Consider the following 19807-nt stretch of genomic DNA (forward strand, 5'->3'; position numbering starts at 1 on the left):
AATAAACCTGTACATGTATTTGTAAAGTGAGGGTTACGTTTTGCTGATGCATCTGGCCAGATAGTCTGTTTACTATTACATTAATTATACTTTAGTGCCCTTCAGCATTGAGCAACTAAGTGACTCAACAGGAAATTTCAAAACCAGAACAAAGGAAATGCAGTGTTTTGAGATCTTCTATATAATCCTTTCACTAGCATACTCTTTCTACATAATGGATAATTTACTTAAAAAGCAAACCCCTATATTTTGAAACTTAATTTTAGAAATAGAAAAGATTACTGGCAGCCAAACAAAGTATTTACTCAGGTGCCTCGTAAACATGATTTGGCATCCAAAACCTGGATATGACTTAGAGAGGAGCTCACACCTTTGAACAAACTGTGCTTTTCTAATCCTGCACCTTTATCTGAGCCAAAGCCCCAGGTCAGGGCTAGGAAAGTCAAGAAATAGGAAGGAAATCGGTCAGTTTTCTATCATCATTGGTGAGTGACCAGAGCTTTTCTTTAAGTAAAAATAATTGTCTAAAAGAAATGTTCATTATTTCTTTGCTGAGATGCTTCTTAAGTAATAAAAACATGGAATTCAATTGGTGTGAAAGTGTAGGGAGATTTATTAAAAACAGGAAATGGTAAAATTAGATGAAGTTCAAGGGCCAGTGTGAACAAAATAGAATTTAACTGAGGGTTGCTTCTTGTATCGAACTCTTCTCTTTCATTGTACTGTTTCCTTCATAAGTCTCCACTGGTTTTTTAAATCTCCTTACCCAAAGAGGACAACAGAAAATAGAAAGGGGATTTTGACACCCCATTCCTGTCTTTTATGGATGATGTCACCAGATTAAGGGATGTTCCTAGGATCTATTTTTATTGGTTGGGGACAGCTCGGTTGAGGAAATAAGAGCTTATGTTGTTTCCTTCTCAAGAGATGTTGGAACTCCAGGGAAGCTGTAAAATTAGAATTTTTACAAGCCTTAAGAAATATACTCACTCTGGTATGTAACACTTAAAAGAGCTTCTTATGTCTGTTTATAATTGTGTATACAGCAAATAATTTAGGAAAAATGATGCTTATTATCAAAGGCTTGTATATCTTTGTTTTATATGACTATTAAACTAAGATATTTGTGTGAATAAACTGAATACTTTGTTTTGATATTTTATTAAAATCTTATCAGTTTATTATGACTATTAAACTAAGATATTTGTGTGAAGCTGAATACTTTGTTTTGATATTTTATTAAAATCTTATCAGTTTATTCCCTGGGATGTGTGGCATAGGTTAAATGTAATTTTCTCAAAACTCACCAGAATGTGAAGTAGGGACTTTTGAGACATATTGCTTCTTATACTTATTTTTTAATCTAATGAAAACTTTATAATTTGTGTCCCTGAGATAATAACACTCTCAGGTATATCACTTTCAGTAGTACTATGGGGAGGGTGATTGAGGGAAATGAAATGTACTGGAGTTGAAACAGAATAAAAATACTGACCATCATTCAATGTTGGCATTAAAAACTATGAAAATAGAATTCAGTTAAATTTAATACTAAAATAGAAAAGGAATGACTATCTTTTGCTTTTAATATTTCTTCCTGTTAATAATTTACAACTGAGTCTACCTAAAGGTTACATTTAGGCTAGATTGACAAATACGTATCTCATATATATGGTATTTTACTGTCAGAACCTGTGCTAGATGCTGGTGACACAAAGATAAAAAAGCACTAGTCACTCAAGGGATTAGTGTGAAGTCAATACATTTATTCAGCTGAACTGGACTGAAAGTTGAGGCCTGGTATAAGAACTTTCAGGCAGAAGAAACAGCATGTTCTAGGGTGTGAAGACCAAAACAGCATGTCATACTCAGGGAACTTATGAAGTCTGCAAATTTTAGAATGAAGAAGAAAAGTGAGAGTGGAAGGAAATGAAACAAGATAGACAGTGGTCAAATCATGAAGAACTATATATTTTCTTTATTATCCTAAAGTAGTTGGGCAATGATCAAAGTTGCTTTTTAGAAATATTATTCTGTTGATGAAGTGTGAATCATAGATTAGACAGAGAGCTGGAGGACCAAACTTTGGTCAAGGATGAAAATAAGAACTTTGATATCAAGAAATCTAACAATGAATTAAGCTTATGCAGAAATCTAAATGTAAGGCAATTTATGAGTAACTCATTAAGGCAATGGTGTGATATTTAAACAGCTAATGGAAATACATTATCAGTGCAATTTCATGATATAATTTTTACTATCAAAAATAAGTACTTTTGAAGTTTGAGAATAATAATGAAGACTGATGATAACCATGACCCATAGGAATGGATCTGTCAAATGCTCAGCATTTCTTAGTCTAGTGGTACCTGCAGCTGTTGAGCATTTGAATTGTGGTTAGGCCTGTGTGGGAAGGGCTCAGTATGAAACAAAGAATGTAAAATATATTATTAATAACATTCCCATATCCGTTAAACATTGGGTTAAATAAAATATATTACTAAAATAAATTTCACCTGTTTCTTTTAACTTTGAAAAATGTCGCTACTAGAAAACAAAATGACATAGGCAGCTCACATTCTATTTCTATTGAATGGCAACGCAGAGAGATCCAAGCATGTTTTGATAGGTTAAGTTCTTCCTCTAAACCGTTAGTTGTGACTTACTTCAAGGGGCTTTTTCTTTTGGTAACTTTGAACCTATAAAAAGGTAGGGCCTCTGTGGGGAGCAATAGGAATCAGGAGAAGAGGTCAAAGATAATATAATCCATCACTAAGAGGCTTCTATGTCTGCACCCACACTGTCTCTATAACTCTGAATTAGGCAGAAGAACGTGAGGGACTCAGACTAGGAGAAAGAAGACTTTCAACCTTACAAATCATTCTTTTCAATACTTTAAGCCCTTTTCCATCTTCCGCCAGGTAACATTTGGTTAATTTGGTTACTCTACTGCATAAATTCCCAGATCAGCCTTCTGGAAGGATCAGTCATCATCTAATCAGGAAATTGAACAGATTGTAATGGGACTATTTTTGGGCTATTAAATGTATATATTTTTTTAATTTTTGCAATCCCTAGTTGCCTCACAGATACCATGTGTAAAGTCATGCATTTTTTTGTCAGTTCTTCTAAAGTTACATGAATGAATTGGAAACATGAAGAAAAAAGGGAGATGCTGGAATTTAAACTAAAATAAATTGTTTAGTGTGTAGAAGAAGAAAGCAAAATCACTAATGCTCTGGGATCATTTCAGGCACAGTCAAAAGGTATCCAGACATCATCTCGGGGCATTAAAAATTCTAAGAGCCTTGAGTAAAGAGGGAATATTGTGATATTTTCTTTTATATTATAGTGCTATATTATAGGCTCAATGTATAATCTTTTTAAAATGTTATGCTTATAAAACACTTCTTAGCAAAAGTTATCACAGAAAGGGTATAAAATTCTATTTTCTAATCATTTACTAAGGCAAATTTTTCTCATTCCCAATATGGCCGAGAAATAAGGCATTATTGTGTTTAATGTGACTATTTTTTCCTTTTAAAAATATTTTGCTGTGGCCGGGCACGGTGGCTCATGCCTGTAATCCCAGCACTTTGGGAGGCCGAGGCGGGTGGATCATGAGGTCAGGAGATCCAGACCATACTGGCTAACACCGTGAAACCCCGCCTCTACTTTAAAAAAAAAAAAAAGAAAAAAGAAAAAGAAAATTAGCCGAGTGTGGTGGCACGCGCCTGTAGTCCCAGCTACTCGGGAGGCTGAGGCAGGAAAATCACTTGAATCCGCGAGACGGAGGTTGCAGTGAGCCGAGATCGCGCCACTGCACTCCAGCCTGGGAGGCAGAGCGAGATTCCATCTCAAAAAAAAAAAAAAAACAAAAAACCAAAACAAAGACAAAAACAACCCCCCCCCCCAAAAAAACCTGCGGTTAATCTTTTAATCTGAATTATTAAAGTTTATGCACAATGCACAGAAGTGGCTAAGATGAACTATTGGAATGTGGAAAGAAGACATATAAATAGTTCAGATTTCAGAACACCTTTCTTCAACTCTGCAGTGATGCATCCTGAAGCCCACCGGCTGGTAGTAAAACATGAGCTACTCTATGGCATAGTGATGGAGGGAGGCAGCTGGGGCTGGCCAGCTCAGGCTTGATTCTGGATGTTTTTACTTTCTGTGTAAACTTGGGTAAGTTATTTCACTTTTCTGTTTTAGTTTCTTTGTTCATAAAATGAGAATGTAAGAGCACCTAACATCTGTGAAGAATGAGAAAAGCCCATGGCTGAAGAAAACACACTCGAGCTAAACATACAATTCAAGTGGGCAAACCTCTTCCACCATACCAGCAATCCTACTACATATTTCCAGTCAAGTCACTTTCCCAGCCTCTAAAATGGCTATTTAATGCTTCCTCTCTCCTCAAACATCTAATATTTATTGTCTCTTATGAATTAATAATCTTGGTTTTTATTTTGCTGAGAAAAACCCATCAACAGAGAACTACCTGATGCTTTCACTGTCAAATTCTCCCACCCACAAATCTTTAATTTTTATCCATATGCTTTGCCTTCCCTCTGCTGACAAGGCTGACTCTGCCCGGGTATTTCATCCACCCCTTCTCATTTGCTCAAGGGCATCATTTCAGAAATTCTGTCCTGCCTCCCAGGAGTTACCAAATTATTCTTCTCTACTGCAGCATTCCCTTTAACATGAAATATGCTAGAATGTCCCCATCATAAATAAAGAGCTTCCCTCCACTCCACATTCCCCTCTAGCTACTGCATGTTTCTCTGCTCAACATACTATCAAGGGGCTTCTAGAGAGTTGTCTGTATTGACTCTTACAAAATTTATTACCATTCATGCTCGATTTTATTCCAGTCAGGCTATCTTCTCTATCTTTTCTTTGAACTTTTGTATGTTAAGATCACTAGTGACCACAGTCTTTCTAAACTAAATGTCAATTCTCTGTTTTTATCTTATTCAGTGTCTCAGAAGCAACTGACAAGGTTGATTATTTCTTTTCTCTTGAAATGCTTTCTTTACTTGGTCTCCATGACCACTGCACTGTCCTGATATTTTTTCCTACCTTAATGACTGCTGCTCCTCATTCTCCTTTTCTTCCAGTTATCTCCATCTACCATCATTCTGTATTTGATCATGAGTACCGTTTACAGGTGGATGAGTCCTGAGTAAACAGTCTCTATCCCTGCTTTTTTCCAGAGCTCCAGATTCACATATCCAACCAACTACTAGATAATGAACATATATTTGTATGTCTGATAAGAATTTCAAACTGATCATACACAAAGCAAAACTCTTTATTCCACTATTTGTATTCTTTCCCCCAACCCAAATCCCTTCCCTTCCTTTGCAATCAAATCTGTTTCCCAGCCTTCCCTCTCTTTGCTCAGAGCAAAACTAGGCATCATCCTTAAATGGTATCTTTCTCTGCTACCTCAACTGACAAACTGACGAATATGTTAACTTCATCTTCAAAATATATCCCAAATTACACTGCCGCTTTTCACTGTGTCTGTTAATACCATCAACGTTCAATGCACTGTTCTTTGTAGCCCAAACTATAATATTTGCTTCTTAGCTGGTCTCCGTGTTGCTACCTTTATCACTTTACAATCTCTTTTCCGTATTGTAGCCAAAGTGGTCTTTTAAATATAAATTGAGTGTCAAAGTTTCTCCAGCATTTTCCATTGAAGTTTGAAATAAAATCAAAACTCCTGAACATAGCCTAAATCTCCCAATCTCCAGATTTATTTTATACTCGTTTCTTCTTTCTCATTCTGCTGCAGCCATGCTAACTTCTTCGTGTTTCTCAAGCAAACCTAACACACTCCCAGTTCAAGGCTTCTGCTCCTGTTCCCGGTGCCTGAACCACATTTTCCCCAAAAGCTGCATGGCCTGCTCCCTCACTTCCTTCAAGACTCGCTCAGGTGTTCTCTCCTCACAGGGCCTTTCCTGACCACCCTATTAAAGTATTAATCTCCTATTAAAGTAGTAACTCCTTGTGCCCTGCCCTTCCCAACCCCGTACTCTCTAGTCTCTTAACCTGCTTTATTTACATGGCCCAATTCCATTATATGTTATTTGTTTACTTTTTATTATTTTTTCTCCCCACTCAGATTGCAGATTCCACTAGGGCAGAGAGCTTGCCTGTCCTTCATGGTCTAATTGGGCATAAGATACATATTTATCAAATGGTTGAATACATGTAAAAGGTTAAAGTAGTGTTAAGGACATAGTAATATATATTATGATAGTATATCTCTGCCATTACTGTTTATCTAGTATCTTCACAACTCTGTTCTTAAGTGACTAACTATTCTGCACTTATAGAGCTACTGGATGAAGTTGTGAAGTGGATTTCTACACTATCACCAATGCTAATCATTGCTTGTTTGAATTTGTTTTTTGTACTAAGTCCTTTCCTCTAAAAAATGTTACTAAGTTTTTGCAATAATATGGAATCTTAATTCTTCTAGTGTGGGTAAAAATTCAGATAATATAATACATACTGAAAATCAAGGCATAGGGACCCCTAACCTGACAAATCAGTTTATTTTTTATTTTTTTATTTTGAGGCAGGGTCTCATTCTGTCACTCAGACTGGAGTGCAGTGGTGCAATCTTGGCTCACTGCAACCTCCATCTCCTGGAATCAAACAATCCTCTCACCTCAGCCTCCCAAGTAGCTGGGACTACAGGCATCCGCCACCATGCCTGGCTAACTTTTGTATTTTTTTGTAGAGATGGGGTTTCACCGTGTTGCCCAGGCTGGTCTTGAACTCTTGAGCTCGAGCGATCTGCCCACCTTGGCCTCCCAAAGTGCTGGGATTACAGGCATGAGCCACCAGGCCTGGCCCAAATTGTTGTTTTTAATAATTAAGTTGTATAACTAGAACTATAATTTTATACATTTTGTCTTATAAACATTAGTTTCCATTTAATATTTGAAAATAATGTCTTCTTTAATTTGTGAGCTAAAAATACTGACTAGGTTTCTTGGGACAATTGATAGTTTTTGACAGAATATTTTGCCTTTTACCTGACAAAATATATGTATGATACCTTTAAGATCATGCTTAAAATTTTACATGTGGTGTTGAAAAAATTTTCTTAAGTGCATCAAAAATTACTTGAAACTTTTAAGTGTTTTCAAGATAGATTGTTTGGTCTAAATATATAATTTTTTGGAGTTCATTGCTGTTTTTAAACAGATACAAAAGACAAAAACCTGTGGGTGATTTTTTCTTGGATTCTGTTTTCTATGTAGGCTGCTGTGTATAACCTCAGCAGAGTGGACACCAGGGAGCGCTGAGCTAGTGAAAATCCAATTCAGTTCTTCCTTCTCTATGATGTATTTTAATGAAGCAAGCAGATGGTAGGTAGATCTTCCCTTGGAAACTGCTGATTTTGAAAGACTCCAGAATGCCAGTTTTCCAACCATCATGTTCAGCAGTGTAGCGTATCTTGAAATACACATTTAACTTTGCCAGGAAAATTAATCTACCCTTAGGCAGATGGATAAATTTGCAAAAATACAAGATGATTGCTTGCCTCTCCAGTTTTCCTTCCTAGCTTTGAGTATACACGTCTTTCCTCTGTCTTTGTTCTTAACTTCTTAGTAACACAGCACCAGATTTAGCTCAATATCCTGCCGAAATGCAATTAGGTTATCAAACTATGTACGTGGTCATTGTCTTTGTTGTTTCTGTTTTTTGTTGTTGAACAAACTCCTTGAGGAATACACTTTCACACTGTTCAGCATTATCATTTAGAAATAAAAATGGCAACCTACAAATGTGATTATTTTTTAAAGGGAATAGAAATAAATATGTCCGGAGATATCGCCAACAGTTATAGGTGATGGTAGCCTGCACAGAAAACATACAGTTACCTTTTCCTTCTGAACCAAGACAGAGATACCCGGTACATGAATAAAATCAAGCTCTCTATTCAAATGGATATATAATATCGAATTCACCCACAGGTATAAACATGAAATAAATATGATTGGTTGGTTGCCAATTCCTGCTCATAATAAATTATTCACGTATTCTATATAGATATTTAATTACTACCATTCTAACTTCTTTATCCAATCATCAAGAAAAAGCTAAGAACAAACAGAGTTTTACATTAAGATAGAAAAACTGTTGAAAATGCAGAGCATTATAATTTCCACCAGCAAAAGAAATAATACATGCTAGAATCTGAAGCATTCTTTTTAGATGCATAATTCTTAGAAATTAGTGCCATCTTCTGGCTTTTCAAAGTAACTAGGTACTGGTAGGATGTTTTATAGTATCACAAAGTGTCAGAAAAGGGGAAAAAATCCCTGAAACATATAGGTTCAAATCATAATCATAGTATCTGCAATACATTACAGTTCATGGCCTAAGCTTTGAGCATGGTAAAATTTTCACATCCTCTATAATTCATATTACATAAGCTGTGCAGGTTTATACTGGATTACATTCCCTTGGTTAGTAGTTTATTGTGATAAAATAAGATTCCTAGCTATTACACACACAGGATATTCTGGAACTGATGTGTTTTGAATAATTTTCTCATTTCTAACTCATGAATTTCTTCATGCCCGTGAATATTTAGTTCAGAAATTAAGAAACATTGAGGTTGGAGTGGGTTATCGCTCAAGTTCCGTGGATACATTCTTTTAGTTTGTTACTATATCATTTTTCAAGATATGGCTGTTTAGATGCACTATTGTATATTCTAAAATATTAAAAATAGCAATTATAGTATCTATTATGTCCCAGCTGCTAGATGCCCTATCTAAATTACTTTATTTCTCACAGAACACCAGTGAGATGTACTTCTACCTCATTCCTATCTTATAGATGAAGAAATTGAGGCTCAGAGATGTTAAGTCACAGAGCTAAGAAATGACAGGGTCAAGATCTGAACCCCTGTTCATCTGACTCCAAAGCCTGTGCTCTATGTTACCTACCTCACTATGATGGTTGGGATACTCATGACATTGGCCAGTTAAAGGCCACTGGTAGGTATTTTATGTAATTATTAAAATATTACATTATTAAAGTTGGCACTCCCCACAAATTGACTATCTACCACTTTACTTTCCTCCCAAGTCCTGGCCATGGATGAATAAAATTCTGTAGAACTCATTCCTCCTTCTATATTTAATAGAAATGTAAACACATATTAACTACTTTGCAGTGTCAAGCATTTAACTGATATTCAGGATATACCAATATACCAATGAATTTATCAGCAAATAAGTTTTAATAGAAGCTCAATTGTTTTCTAATATGCATAGATAATAAATAAAAAACTGGTTTAAAAGATCCATATGTCCTTAAAGGTTTCTAAGTGCTTGAACGTTTGGAGACACAGGCACACACATGCATACACAAATATACAGGTCATTGACAATAATTTTTATTTTTGTTTTTGGTATTGTATAAAAGATTAGGAAAAGCAAAAATCTAATAAGGATGATTTATCAAAAAGCAGTATGTACTCTAATCATGAGAGAAAAAAGAAAAAAATCTTAACCAGGGATACTATAGGGAAAACTATAATTTTAAGACAACTGTGGTTTAGCTGTTGAAGTACTAGAAGAAGGCAGTGGCATCTTGCAAAATACTAACTCATTTCTGGGGACCACAACACCACATGATGTTTCAAAAGCATATAAAAAGATTTCATATTAATATGGTATAAGAGATTATTCTAAGTAATACTAACAAAATAAAAATATCATACATGATTCACAAGGTATAACATATATTGAGTACTATTTTTAATTGGAAAGGATCTTGTTATATCTAATAGCCCCAAGATTTTGTGTACTAATAGTGAGCAGGTGCCTATCTCAAACTATAATGGAGTATTATAGAACTACAAAAGATGACTGGAATAATTAAGAACAACAATCAGAAAACATAATGAAATAAAGTATTTTATTTGCTATAGCATGAAATACTTGGAATAAAACTGTACCAATTAGGTTTCTTGGTTACTGGCAATATAAACTAACCCTGACCATCTTAAGCAGGAAAGGAGACAGATTACCTCATGGTCAGTGGGAGGGCTGGAGAACTAGCAGGGAAAGCAGGAAAAACAAAGGAACATAGGTAGCTCAAATACTGCCAAGTTCACATTGTGTGAACAGCTATTTCAGGATGCAGCCACTGGTATTTCTATGACTGGGGACAGCTGTGCAACTACCTCAGCTACAAATAATTTCTAAATATTACTCTCTCTCTTTGGACCACTTCTTCAGGGTGCAAATCTTGGGGAGATTATCCCATTGGCTTATCCTAAGGCATGTACATGTACGCAAATAAGAAGGAAGTTCACGTGCTACGTGGCCAAAATCCAAAACTGAAACAAACGTAATACCCAATAAATGTTTCCCACAGACCTTTGGTTGCTGAGTGCCAACGTGCATCCTTCTTATACTTGCATTTTCAAATAACTTCCTTTTAACATAATGCAACAATCCCACATATAATCAAAAAAAGTGTCACCCTTCTTTCCCAATTGGAGACTTCTTAAAGTCTTTTCTTTTATTGCATTTTGTTCCAAGTACAGAAGGAATCTCTGCATAATGGCCATTTGTTCTCATGTTTATGTTGTGATACTGTCCTGATATAGACTAAATTTCAGTTACTAAACTCAAATGCTTTACAGAAACCAGAGAGCATATGACAGCTGTAATGTGATATGGAAGTATCTGTGATTTTTCCTGGTGACAGAATCAAAGGTAATGCTACTATTGTGCTTTTTTGCTTATCAGCATCCACAAGAGATAGTCAAAAGGAAAGACTTGATACAGGGAGCTAATTATGAAGGGAGAGCAAACAGGGGATGGTGAGGCCACCTAGAGGATAGCAACAACTGAACAGCTGAAAGCAGCTGCTACCTCTATGGCTGAAAGAACAAAGGGAAGACACAGTGCTACAAAAGCCCAAGAGCTGCAACCTCCTGACAGGAGCTGGGTCCGGTAATGGGGGCTGCTCATCAGGACATGGGACCACGGGTAGCTTGGGGACCTGTTAAGTGGCAGCTGGAACCAATCGCGGATGCAGCTACTAGTGGAGGGGAGAGGGGAGAAATTCTGTAGCTTCTCTTCCCCCCAGTCTCCTGTCTCCTGACAGGACCTTGCCTTGGTAGGAGAAAATGTAGTTTGTACAGGGTGAGAAATGCATCTCAGAGCTAACCTGCAAATGACTGGCATTCACCAGGAAGCCCTGGGGCTAAACTCCAGATTCCTGGAACTGGTCATAAGGCCACTTCTCATATTAGAACTTTCTTCTTTGGATGCTCTCTCCTTTCACGTAGGGGAAGCAAATTTAAATTCTTTCTTCTGTGTCCTCCTTGCTTGCCGCCTGCCCTGCAGTTGGTTGGATTCTTTATCTGGTGTGGTGATGCAAGTCATCATTCCTGAGAGGCCAGGCCATGGTGGGCCTGCGGTCAGGAGCTTCACGAGGCCTCCATTAACTCTTACCATTGGATGTGTGAAGCACTATCCCAAGGCAGGCTTCTCACTGTGTGTGTGCATGTGTGCCTGTTAATGTATGCATGTCATGGACCTCTATAGCAGTCTAGGGAAGCTAGTGGGAACCCTCCTCAGAATAATGTTTTTAAATTCATACAGTAAAATACCTAAGATTATAAAACAAATCCACCTTTTTGAAATACAATTAATAAATTATAACAAATGTTTTGTCATGAAGGAAACAGTATAGTCCTTTCATAATGTATTTAAATAGCAAAATCTAGCAGCAGGTATAATAACTACAGCAGTTTCACATTGAGGGGGCACAAGCATATTTTAATACAGTATATAACAACTGTCATTTGATAAAAAGGGATCTGATTTCTCTTGGTGACAAAGTTGCAGGTGCTGATAATACAACTGTGATTTTATGCTGATTTTCATAGTTAAGAATACATTAAGTTTCTGTTGGAGTTCACAGAAAGATGTAGTTTTTTTTTCCTCATCCATATTCACAGCTTCTTTGACTGAGAGGGTTACCTGGGTTTTACCAGAACACTTTTTCACCTGCTGGCTAATTCTCTCACCTTCAGTGTTTTTTCAATTCCACCCTTCTCCTTCTCCCTGAGGCCTATCTTGTCCTATCCTGTACACTCTATTTACTTCTAACCTTCCTCTGTGTGGTAAGGTTTTTTAAGAAATGCTGTCTTAAACCCAGTCTGGGGCCCTGGTTGGAGGCTAGTCATTTCCCTGGACTCTCACATTCCAGGCCACCACACTCCTGTCCTAATTGCCCTGGGACAGGCACCAGACAACTAGGGACACACCTTGGAGCCCTCAGAATTATTCCAATTAGCCAATCTACAGAGAGCCCTCAAAACCTAACTAACCCCACCTGACTTGCCACACAAAAGCCCTTTCCAAGGGAAACCTCCGTGTGGCCCTGTGGCAGTCTTCTCCCATTTGAAGCTGTAAGTAACAAAAAGTTCTGCCATTCATCTATCCAAGTGAGTTGTCTCCTTCCATCCAAAAATATCTTGAATTCTTATAAAAACACCTTGATCCCCTCCCAGGGATTTCTTCTCTTTTTCTTCTCAGCATTTTTGTTTTTGTTTTTCCATAGCACTTATAATCTACCTTCTCACAAATCACTAGACTGTCTCCCCACCTCACTGAAATGTAAGGTCCGTGAAGGCAGGATTTTGTCATTTTTGTTTTCTGCTGCATCCTAAGCACTTGGAACAGTGCCTGCCCATAGGAGGCTCTCTTTATTGAATGAATAAATGAATGCATGACTCTCCTCTCTGTGCCTATTGTGATCAGTCACTCGGGGCAACACCTTCAAGCCCCTTCATACCTGTTTGTGTGGTTTCATGGAAGCCTGAAAGGGAGGTGGATGATGTAAATTCTGATTCAATAGGACTATGGCTATGTCTCTTGAGAGCTTTACCCTTTTGGGTGCCAAAAGCCTCTGAATGAGTGGAGCTCAGAGTCACAGAGAGAGGAAAAATTGTGAGTGGGTCTTTAGGGATGATCACGAGACAGACTGCTCTTCTGCTCCCCCTTGGTTTCTGAATCTGTGTAGTATGATTGTGGAAAATATAGCACCACGTGTCAGTTAAAGTTTCACAGCATACATGACATCTTTCAGAATGGTGCTGTTACCCTGAAGGTTGGCCCAGTTGATGCTGCCACAGAGTCTTTAATATACGATATTTCTATTTTATAAGGCCAATAACTTTTGGGTGATAAATTTCATAAGTTCAGTATCTCTCCCTGCCTTATTTCTTTCACTGTGAAGCCTGTTGTTTAGAAGTAATATTGTGCAGGATACCATAATGACACACTGTATTGATGAACTCCCTCAAAAGAAATGGTAGAAGAACCATGACTAGTAGGGAAAGAAAATCCAAATCCAGAACAAGTAATCAGGAGAATAAGGACAAATTCCTGCCAATCCCATGATGTAATCAACCTACCACTAGGCTGACTAGTCCCCCTTTCATCCCTGGGATTATATCAGGGGTCCGGGTTGTTTGTAGCCATGGGGAAATGAGGATTCAACAGTGACACTTCTGAAGTACTACTTCTTAAGGGAAAGTCCACATTGAGGCCTTGCATGGCCTCTAATTCTTGCATCACAGCCATTTCCACATACTGTCAGATTGCATTCTAAAATTACAATTCATGTTTCCATAAAAAAGTGCATATAATCTTCTTGAATTCCCTCCAGTAATTTATATCATTGCTCTTTCTAATTTTTGACAGTCTGATGAGGGTGGTTTGTCCAGTTATTACTTTAATTGTATTTCCCTGATTACTAGTGAGTTTGAGCACCTTTTACTTGTTGGCCAACTGTATACCCTTCAGTGAGATGTCTGTTCATATGCTTTACTTATTTTTCTTTGATTTTATCTTTATTTTGACAATACTAAAGAGCTCTTTGAATATTATGTTAATCCTTTGTCACCTCACAAATAGTTTCTTCAAATCTATTGTTTTTCTACTGACTTTAGATGTGAAATCCTTTGCAATTCAATAGTTTTAAAAAAATTGTCCAAATGTTTTCTTTTACAGCTCCAGAATTTTCTCTCTTGGTTAAGAATTATTCCTTCATCTCTAGGCTATTCCAAATTCTTAGATTTGGTCCTGAGATATTCACTGATTCATGTTTCATCTTTAAGTCTCTAATAATCCCAGGTTTTATTTTAATACATAATATAAAAGAAGCTTAATTTTGTTTTCTTCCAGTGGAGAATAAGTTGTGCCAGTTTCATCTATTAATTAAAACCTTATCTCACAACTGAATAAAACAGCAATTTTGTCATCAATTGTACTCTCATATATGCTGGGGTCTTTTGCTTAATTTTCTCTTCTTCCTGTTGATCTATTTGTATCTTACTATGCCAGTACCACACTGATAACGATGATAGTAGTTTAACATATGTTCTGATACCTAGCAAGGCAAGGCCAGGCAAGGACATTTATTTATTTTTTATATTTTCACTAGGTATTGGTGGGTTGTTGTTATACATATTATTCTAGATCAGACTCAAAAGCTTTGAAATGTTATGAAATTATGTATTAAAATAGCAATTTTCTCATGTAATCCATAAATAATATAATTTCAGAAAATTATATTATGAATTATATCTTCTCATCTGCTAGCATGGCAAAGTTTTGTAAGCCATTCATATATAATATTATTAAAGTTTTATAATTTTCTACATAGAAGTCTTGCACCTTTCTCATCAAATGTATTCAAAGTGTTTTGTAGGTTTTTTTTTTTTTTGGTTAAAGTTGTGACTGGAAAATTTCTTATTTCTAATTCTAGGTTGGGCTTGAAAGTGTAACAAGAGGTTAAAATAGAAGTTCTAGCTGAAGCACAAAGAAAGTAGAAACAACACATCAAAGTGAGGGATTTATAAAGCAGGAGACTGAAAACCAGCTGGTGACTCTTGAATTCCTCACCCTTATTGAGAGTATAAAAGGCTTATAGCCCTCACCCTTTCACCTCAAATCAAGAGGGAAGGGTTTTAGAAACACAACTTGGAGAGCTTAATATGTATCCCTGAAGTTTGAGGAAAGGGGACGTAGTGTACTGACTTCTGCCTGGAAAGTCTAACAGGTGGGAGATTAATTGACTGCAATGAAGGAGAAAGCCAATGACAGGTTGCTTCTTGACTGGAATTGTTCAGCACTCCAGAGGCTGTCAGGGAAAGGATGTGAGCATGCTGCCTGGAATCTGATGTGGCTCAGCTGTAGGACAAAGATAGTGTGTTTTCTTAAGTTCTGACCAAATGAACCACCTTAAGAGACAAAGATCACTCAGCAAGGAAAGCTGAAGATGCTATGAGATGCCAGAGGTTGGGGAAGGAGCAAACAACCAGCTGGAATGGATATGCCTTTTCTCAAAGAAAATTGCAAGTGGAAGAATTCCAGCCATGGGGTCTCCAAAGCATCCGTGAAACTGTTCCACAAGACAAGGATGGATGACTGAATGCCAAACCCAGAGAGCAGTGAAGCTAAATCAACTCAATCATTTCAGTGAAGAAAGAAATCTCCTGTCCTTTCCTGTCCCTGAACTCCATGATGAAGGGCCATGTGCTGTAGGTAGCAAAACAGGGGAGAAAGAATTTCAGTTTTCCTTTTCCCTTGAAATTTTCTAGCTAAATCAGTCCGAAATGTGGAAGGAAAAAGCATGAAGTTTTTTATTTTTATTTTTTGAGACTGAGTCTTGCTCTGTTGCCCAGGCTGGAGTGCAGTGGTGTGGTCTTGGCTCACTGCAACCTCCTCTTCTCGAGTTCAAATGATTCTCCTGCCTCTGCCTCCCGAGTAGCTGGAATTACAGCCGTGCACCACCATGCCCAGCTAATTTTTATATTTTTAGTAGAAACAGGTTTCACCATGTTGGCCAGGCTGGTAATGAACTCCTGACTTCAGGTGTCTGCCAGCCTTGGCCTCCCAAAGTGCTGGAATTACAGGCATGAGCCACCACACCTGGCCACATGAAAGCATGAAATTTAATGCAGATAGATTTACCTATCATATAAAAATGGAAAACCGAATTACTAAGTGGAACTGATATTTTGTGATCCAGGAATGACCATGTCTGAACTTTCATTTGAGGGGAAAAAGGATAATTAACACCATTGAACAAATTTAAAGGGAGAATGGAAGACAAAGTAAAGTTGTTTTATGTTTACATACAGCTGTGCTATTAAGAAAAGCTACCGATTTTTATTTTTTGTCTCGTACAAATTTTTCTCATTAAAGTTATACAACCAACAAAAATAGATTTGTATCTTCTTTTCTACTATGAGTATTGATTATTTTTATCTCATTGCATTTGCTTGGACCTTCTCAAGAATATGGCAAATAATAATAGTTATACTAGGCATCCTTGTCAAGTTCTGATTTTAATTGAAGAGGTTTTAGTGTTTCACCACTAGGAATACTATGTGCTTTTGGTTTCAAACTAGGCTTTATTAAATTTTAGTATTTTATTCCAGTTTTTAGTTTCTGTTTTCTAATTTTCTTATAAACAATAAAACAATTATGTCTGTTGAATTTGATTGGATGTCTTATTTGTAACTATCTGATGACATTTTAGTATTGATTAATCAAAAAATATTTTCCTTTAGTTTATTTTTTGATTTTGCATTATGTTGATAAATTTCCTAGTATTGAATAACCTTGGTATTCTTAGAACATTCCTAACTTAGTAATAATATATATTTTGGTACATTGTTTGATTATATTTGCTAATATTTACCTTTTTCTCCCCCCTACAGGCATTTAGTGAAATTGGTCCATAGTTTTATTTTCTTCTGCTAATGCTATGCTGAGTTAATAAAATGAATTGAGAAGCACTCACCTTTTTCTGTGGTCTGGAATAAGTAACACTGAAATAATCTGTTCTTAATACATACGATGAAATACTTACAAATGTGCATTATTGTGGTGACTTTTAAAATAGTACATGTTTAATTACCTTTGAAGATGCTAACGTAGCAATTAAAAATGTTTTTTCATTTATGAGTCAATTTGAATAATTATGGTTTTCTAGAATAACATTCATTTTCTCCAAGTTTCAAAGTTTGTTTGCAATGGACATGCATATTTTATTCTCTAAGAAAAAAATTTCTCATTTATCTATGATTATGCCACATTCTCATTTCTAATCATATTTTTCATCTTTTTACTCTAATCATACCTTGAAGAACTTATTTTCTTTAGCTTTAATAATAACCAAGTTCTTTTATACTTTATTTATTTCACTTTCATCAATAATTGCCTTTTTGTAATTTATTTTGGTTTATTTCTATGCTTTACATCTTAAAATGGGTACTTCTTATATTTTTATCTTTTGTCTTTTTTTCTATTTCATTTGTTTCAGCTACATTTTCAATGATTCCCCTTTCCTAAGTTACTTTTATTTGCATTATTGTTCTTTTTTTCTAATTTGTTAATATATGCCCCAAGTCCTTACATTTTTCTTCTGGATTCACTTTCCTCCAATTTTGTCTAGGTTAATCTCTAGCCTCTTGCCCAATGCAAAGGAAAGCAGAATAGATACTCCAATTTCTATAACTCAGGAACCTACTTCCACCAAGCTTCCCACTGACTTCAGAATATGCATCTTACAAGTGACAGCTAGATTGGAGTTGGAAATAAAGGAAGATAGCATCCCACAATCTCGTCTCTCTTTCATTTATAACGTAACTATAATATGTCACAGGCAAGTTCTAAATAAAGAAAACCTTAAATCATTGAGGGACATAAAGTAAATTATTAGTAAGTAGAAATACTTTCAAATAGGAAATTTTAATATAATAGACATGCCAATTCCCACTAAGTGATTTTATGAATTCAATGTGATCTTAATGGAAACATGACGGTATGGAGTGAGTCCAGCATAAGACACAAATATACCTGGAAGATTTTTACTGTGAGTGGCTTTTCAAATTAATGAGAAAAAGGAAGATCATTCAATAAATATTACTGATAAATTGATCATTACCACATATTACAAAATAAAACTTAGCTTCATAAAAAATTAAATGTTACTGCAAGAACAAACCAGCAATCCCCAGAGGACCCACAGACCCTCTGAAGGAAGTGGACTGCTGCTGCAGGACGCGGAGACACCCCAAATTCTGTGAGCACCCCAGCTGCGGAAGTGGGAAAAGGAGACCCTCCTCTCCCGAGCACATACCTCCATTGGAGAAGCTGAAGGTCCAGGTCCGTTTGCAGGAGAAGTTGCCGAGTTTACCTGGAGCCAAGTCAAGTTAGAGAGCCGAGCCAAGTGAAATACAGGGGTAGAGGAAGCAGCAGAAAGGCCCTGGGAGCTTACTGGGTCCCCAAGCAGCCCATTCCTGCCTGGCACCACAGGGATCCATCAGGAGGGTGGCCAGAGGAACGGGGGCAAAACTCCAAAGGGAGAAGGAATTCTGTAGCTGAACTTTGTAACAACTTGAACCAGGCGAGAAGCCTCCTGGCCAGAACTTGGGGGAGGGCGCCAATCCCGCTTGCAGAGTTCACAAGCAGGGGAAGAACTAAAGCCCTTTTCTTTTGCAGCTGGGAGGCAGAAATCTGGCAAGTTTTCAAGCCCCTCTCACCCGCCACCTGGGAATAGACTCGGGGCTGTTGTTGGGGGCATGGTGGGAGTGAGACTGGCCCTTCAGTTTGCATGGGAGCTGGGTGAGGCCTGTGACTGCTGGCTTTCCCCTACTTCCCTGACAACCTTCATGACTAGGCAGAGGCAGCCACAATCCTCCTAGGTACACAACTCCAGTGACCTGGGAACCTGTCCCCCATCCTCCACAGCAGCCACAGCAAAACCTATACAAGGAGACTCTGAGCTTAGACATGCCTAGCCCTGCCCCCACCTGATGGTCCTTCCCTACCCACCCTGGTAGTGGAAGACAAAGGGCGTATAATCTTGGGAGTTCTAGGGCCCCGCCCACTGCCCATCCCTCTCCACACTATAGCTGTTCTGGAAAATGCCACCTCTGGGCAAGAGGCCAAGCAGCACAAAAATAGAGCATTAAACCACCAAAGCTAAGGACCCTCACAGAGTCCATCGTGCCCTTCGCCACCTCAACGAGAACAGGTGCTGGTATCCATGGCTGAGAGACCCATAGATGGTTCACATTACAGGAATCTATGCCGACAATGGCCAGTATCAGTCCAGAGTTAGGTAGACTCGCTGGATGGTTAGACCCAGAAGAGAGACAATAATCACCGCAGTTCAGCTCACAGGAAGCCACATCCACAGGATAAAGGGAGAGTACTACATCAAGGAAACACCCCATGGGACAAAATGATCTGAACAACAGCCTTCGGCCCTAGACCTTCCCTCTGACAGAGCCCACCCAAATGAGAAGGAACCAGAAAACCAACCCTAGTAATATGACAAAACAAGGCTCATCAACACCCCTCAAAAATCACACTAGTTCACCAGCACTGGATCCAAACCAAGAAGAAATCCCTGAGATAGTTGAAAAAGAATTCAGGAGGTTAGTTATTAAGTGAATCAGGGAAGGAACAGAGAAAGGCAAAGCCCAATGTGAGGAAATTCAAAAAATGATACAAGTAGTGAAGGGAGAAATATTCAAGGAAATAGATAGCTTAAAGCAAAAACAATAGAAAAAATTCAGGAAACTTTGGACACTTTTAGAAATGTAAAATGCTCTGGAAAGTCTTAACAATAGAATTGAACAAGTAGAAGAAAGAAGTTCAGAGCTCAAAGACAAGGTCTTTGGATTAATCCAATCCAACAAAGACAAAAAATAAGAAAA

At 37.4% G+C, this 19807-nt stretch overlaps 1 protein-coding gene and 1 long non-coding RNA gene across 3 annotated transcripts in view; one reads left to right on the forward strand and one right to left on the reverse strand.

Moving 5' to 3' along the window:
- EYS (eyes shut homolog) overlaps positions 1-19807 on the reverse strand; it is a 1987247-nt gene that overhangs the window by 86422 nt on the left and 1881018 nt on the right. The gene's annotated exons all lie outside the window — the stretch shown is intronic.
- Positions 435-16241, forward strand: SCAT8 (S-phase cancer associated transcript 8). The gene is made up of 2 exons (NR_157848.1): positions 435-485; positions 14839-16241. It is a non-coding gene; the product is annotated as an S-phase cancer associated transcript 8 (long non-coding RNA).

Source organism: Homo sapiens, chromosome 6 (genome assembly GCF_000001405.40).
Source record: "Homo sapiens chromosome 6, GRCh38.p14 Primary Assembly".
Lineage (NCBI taxonomy): Eukaryota > Metazoa > Chordata > Mammalia > Primates > Hominidae > Homo > Homo sapiens.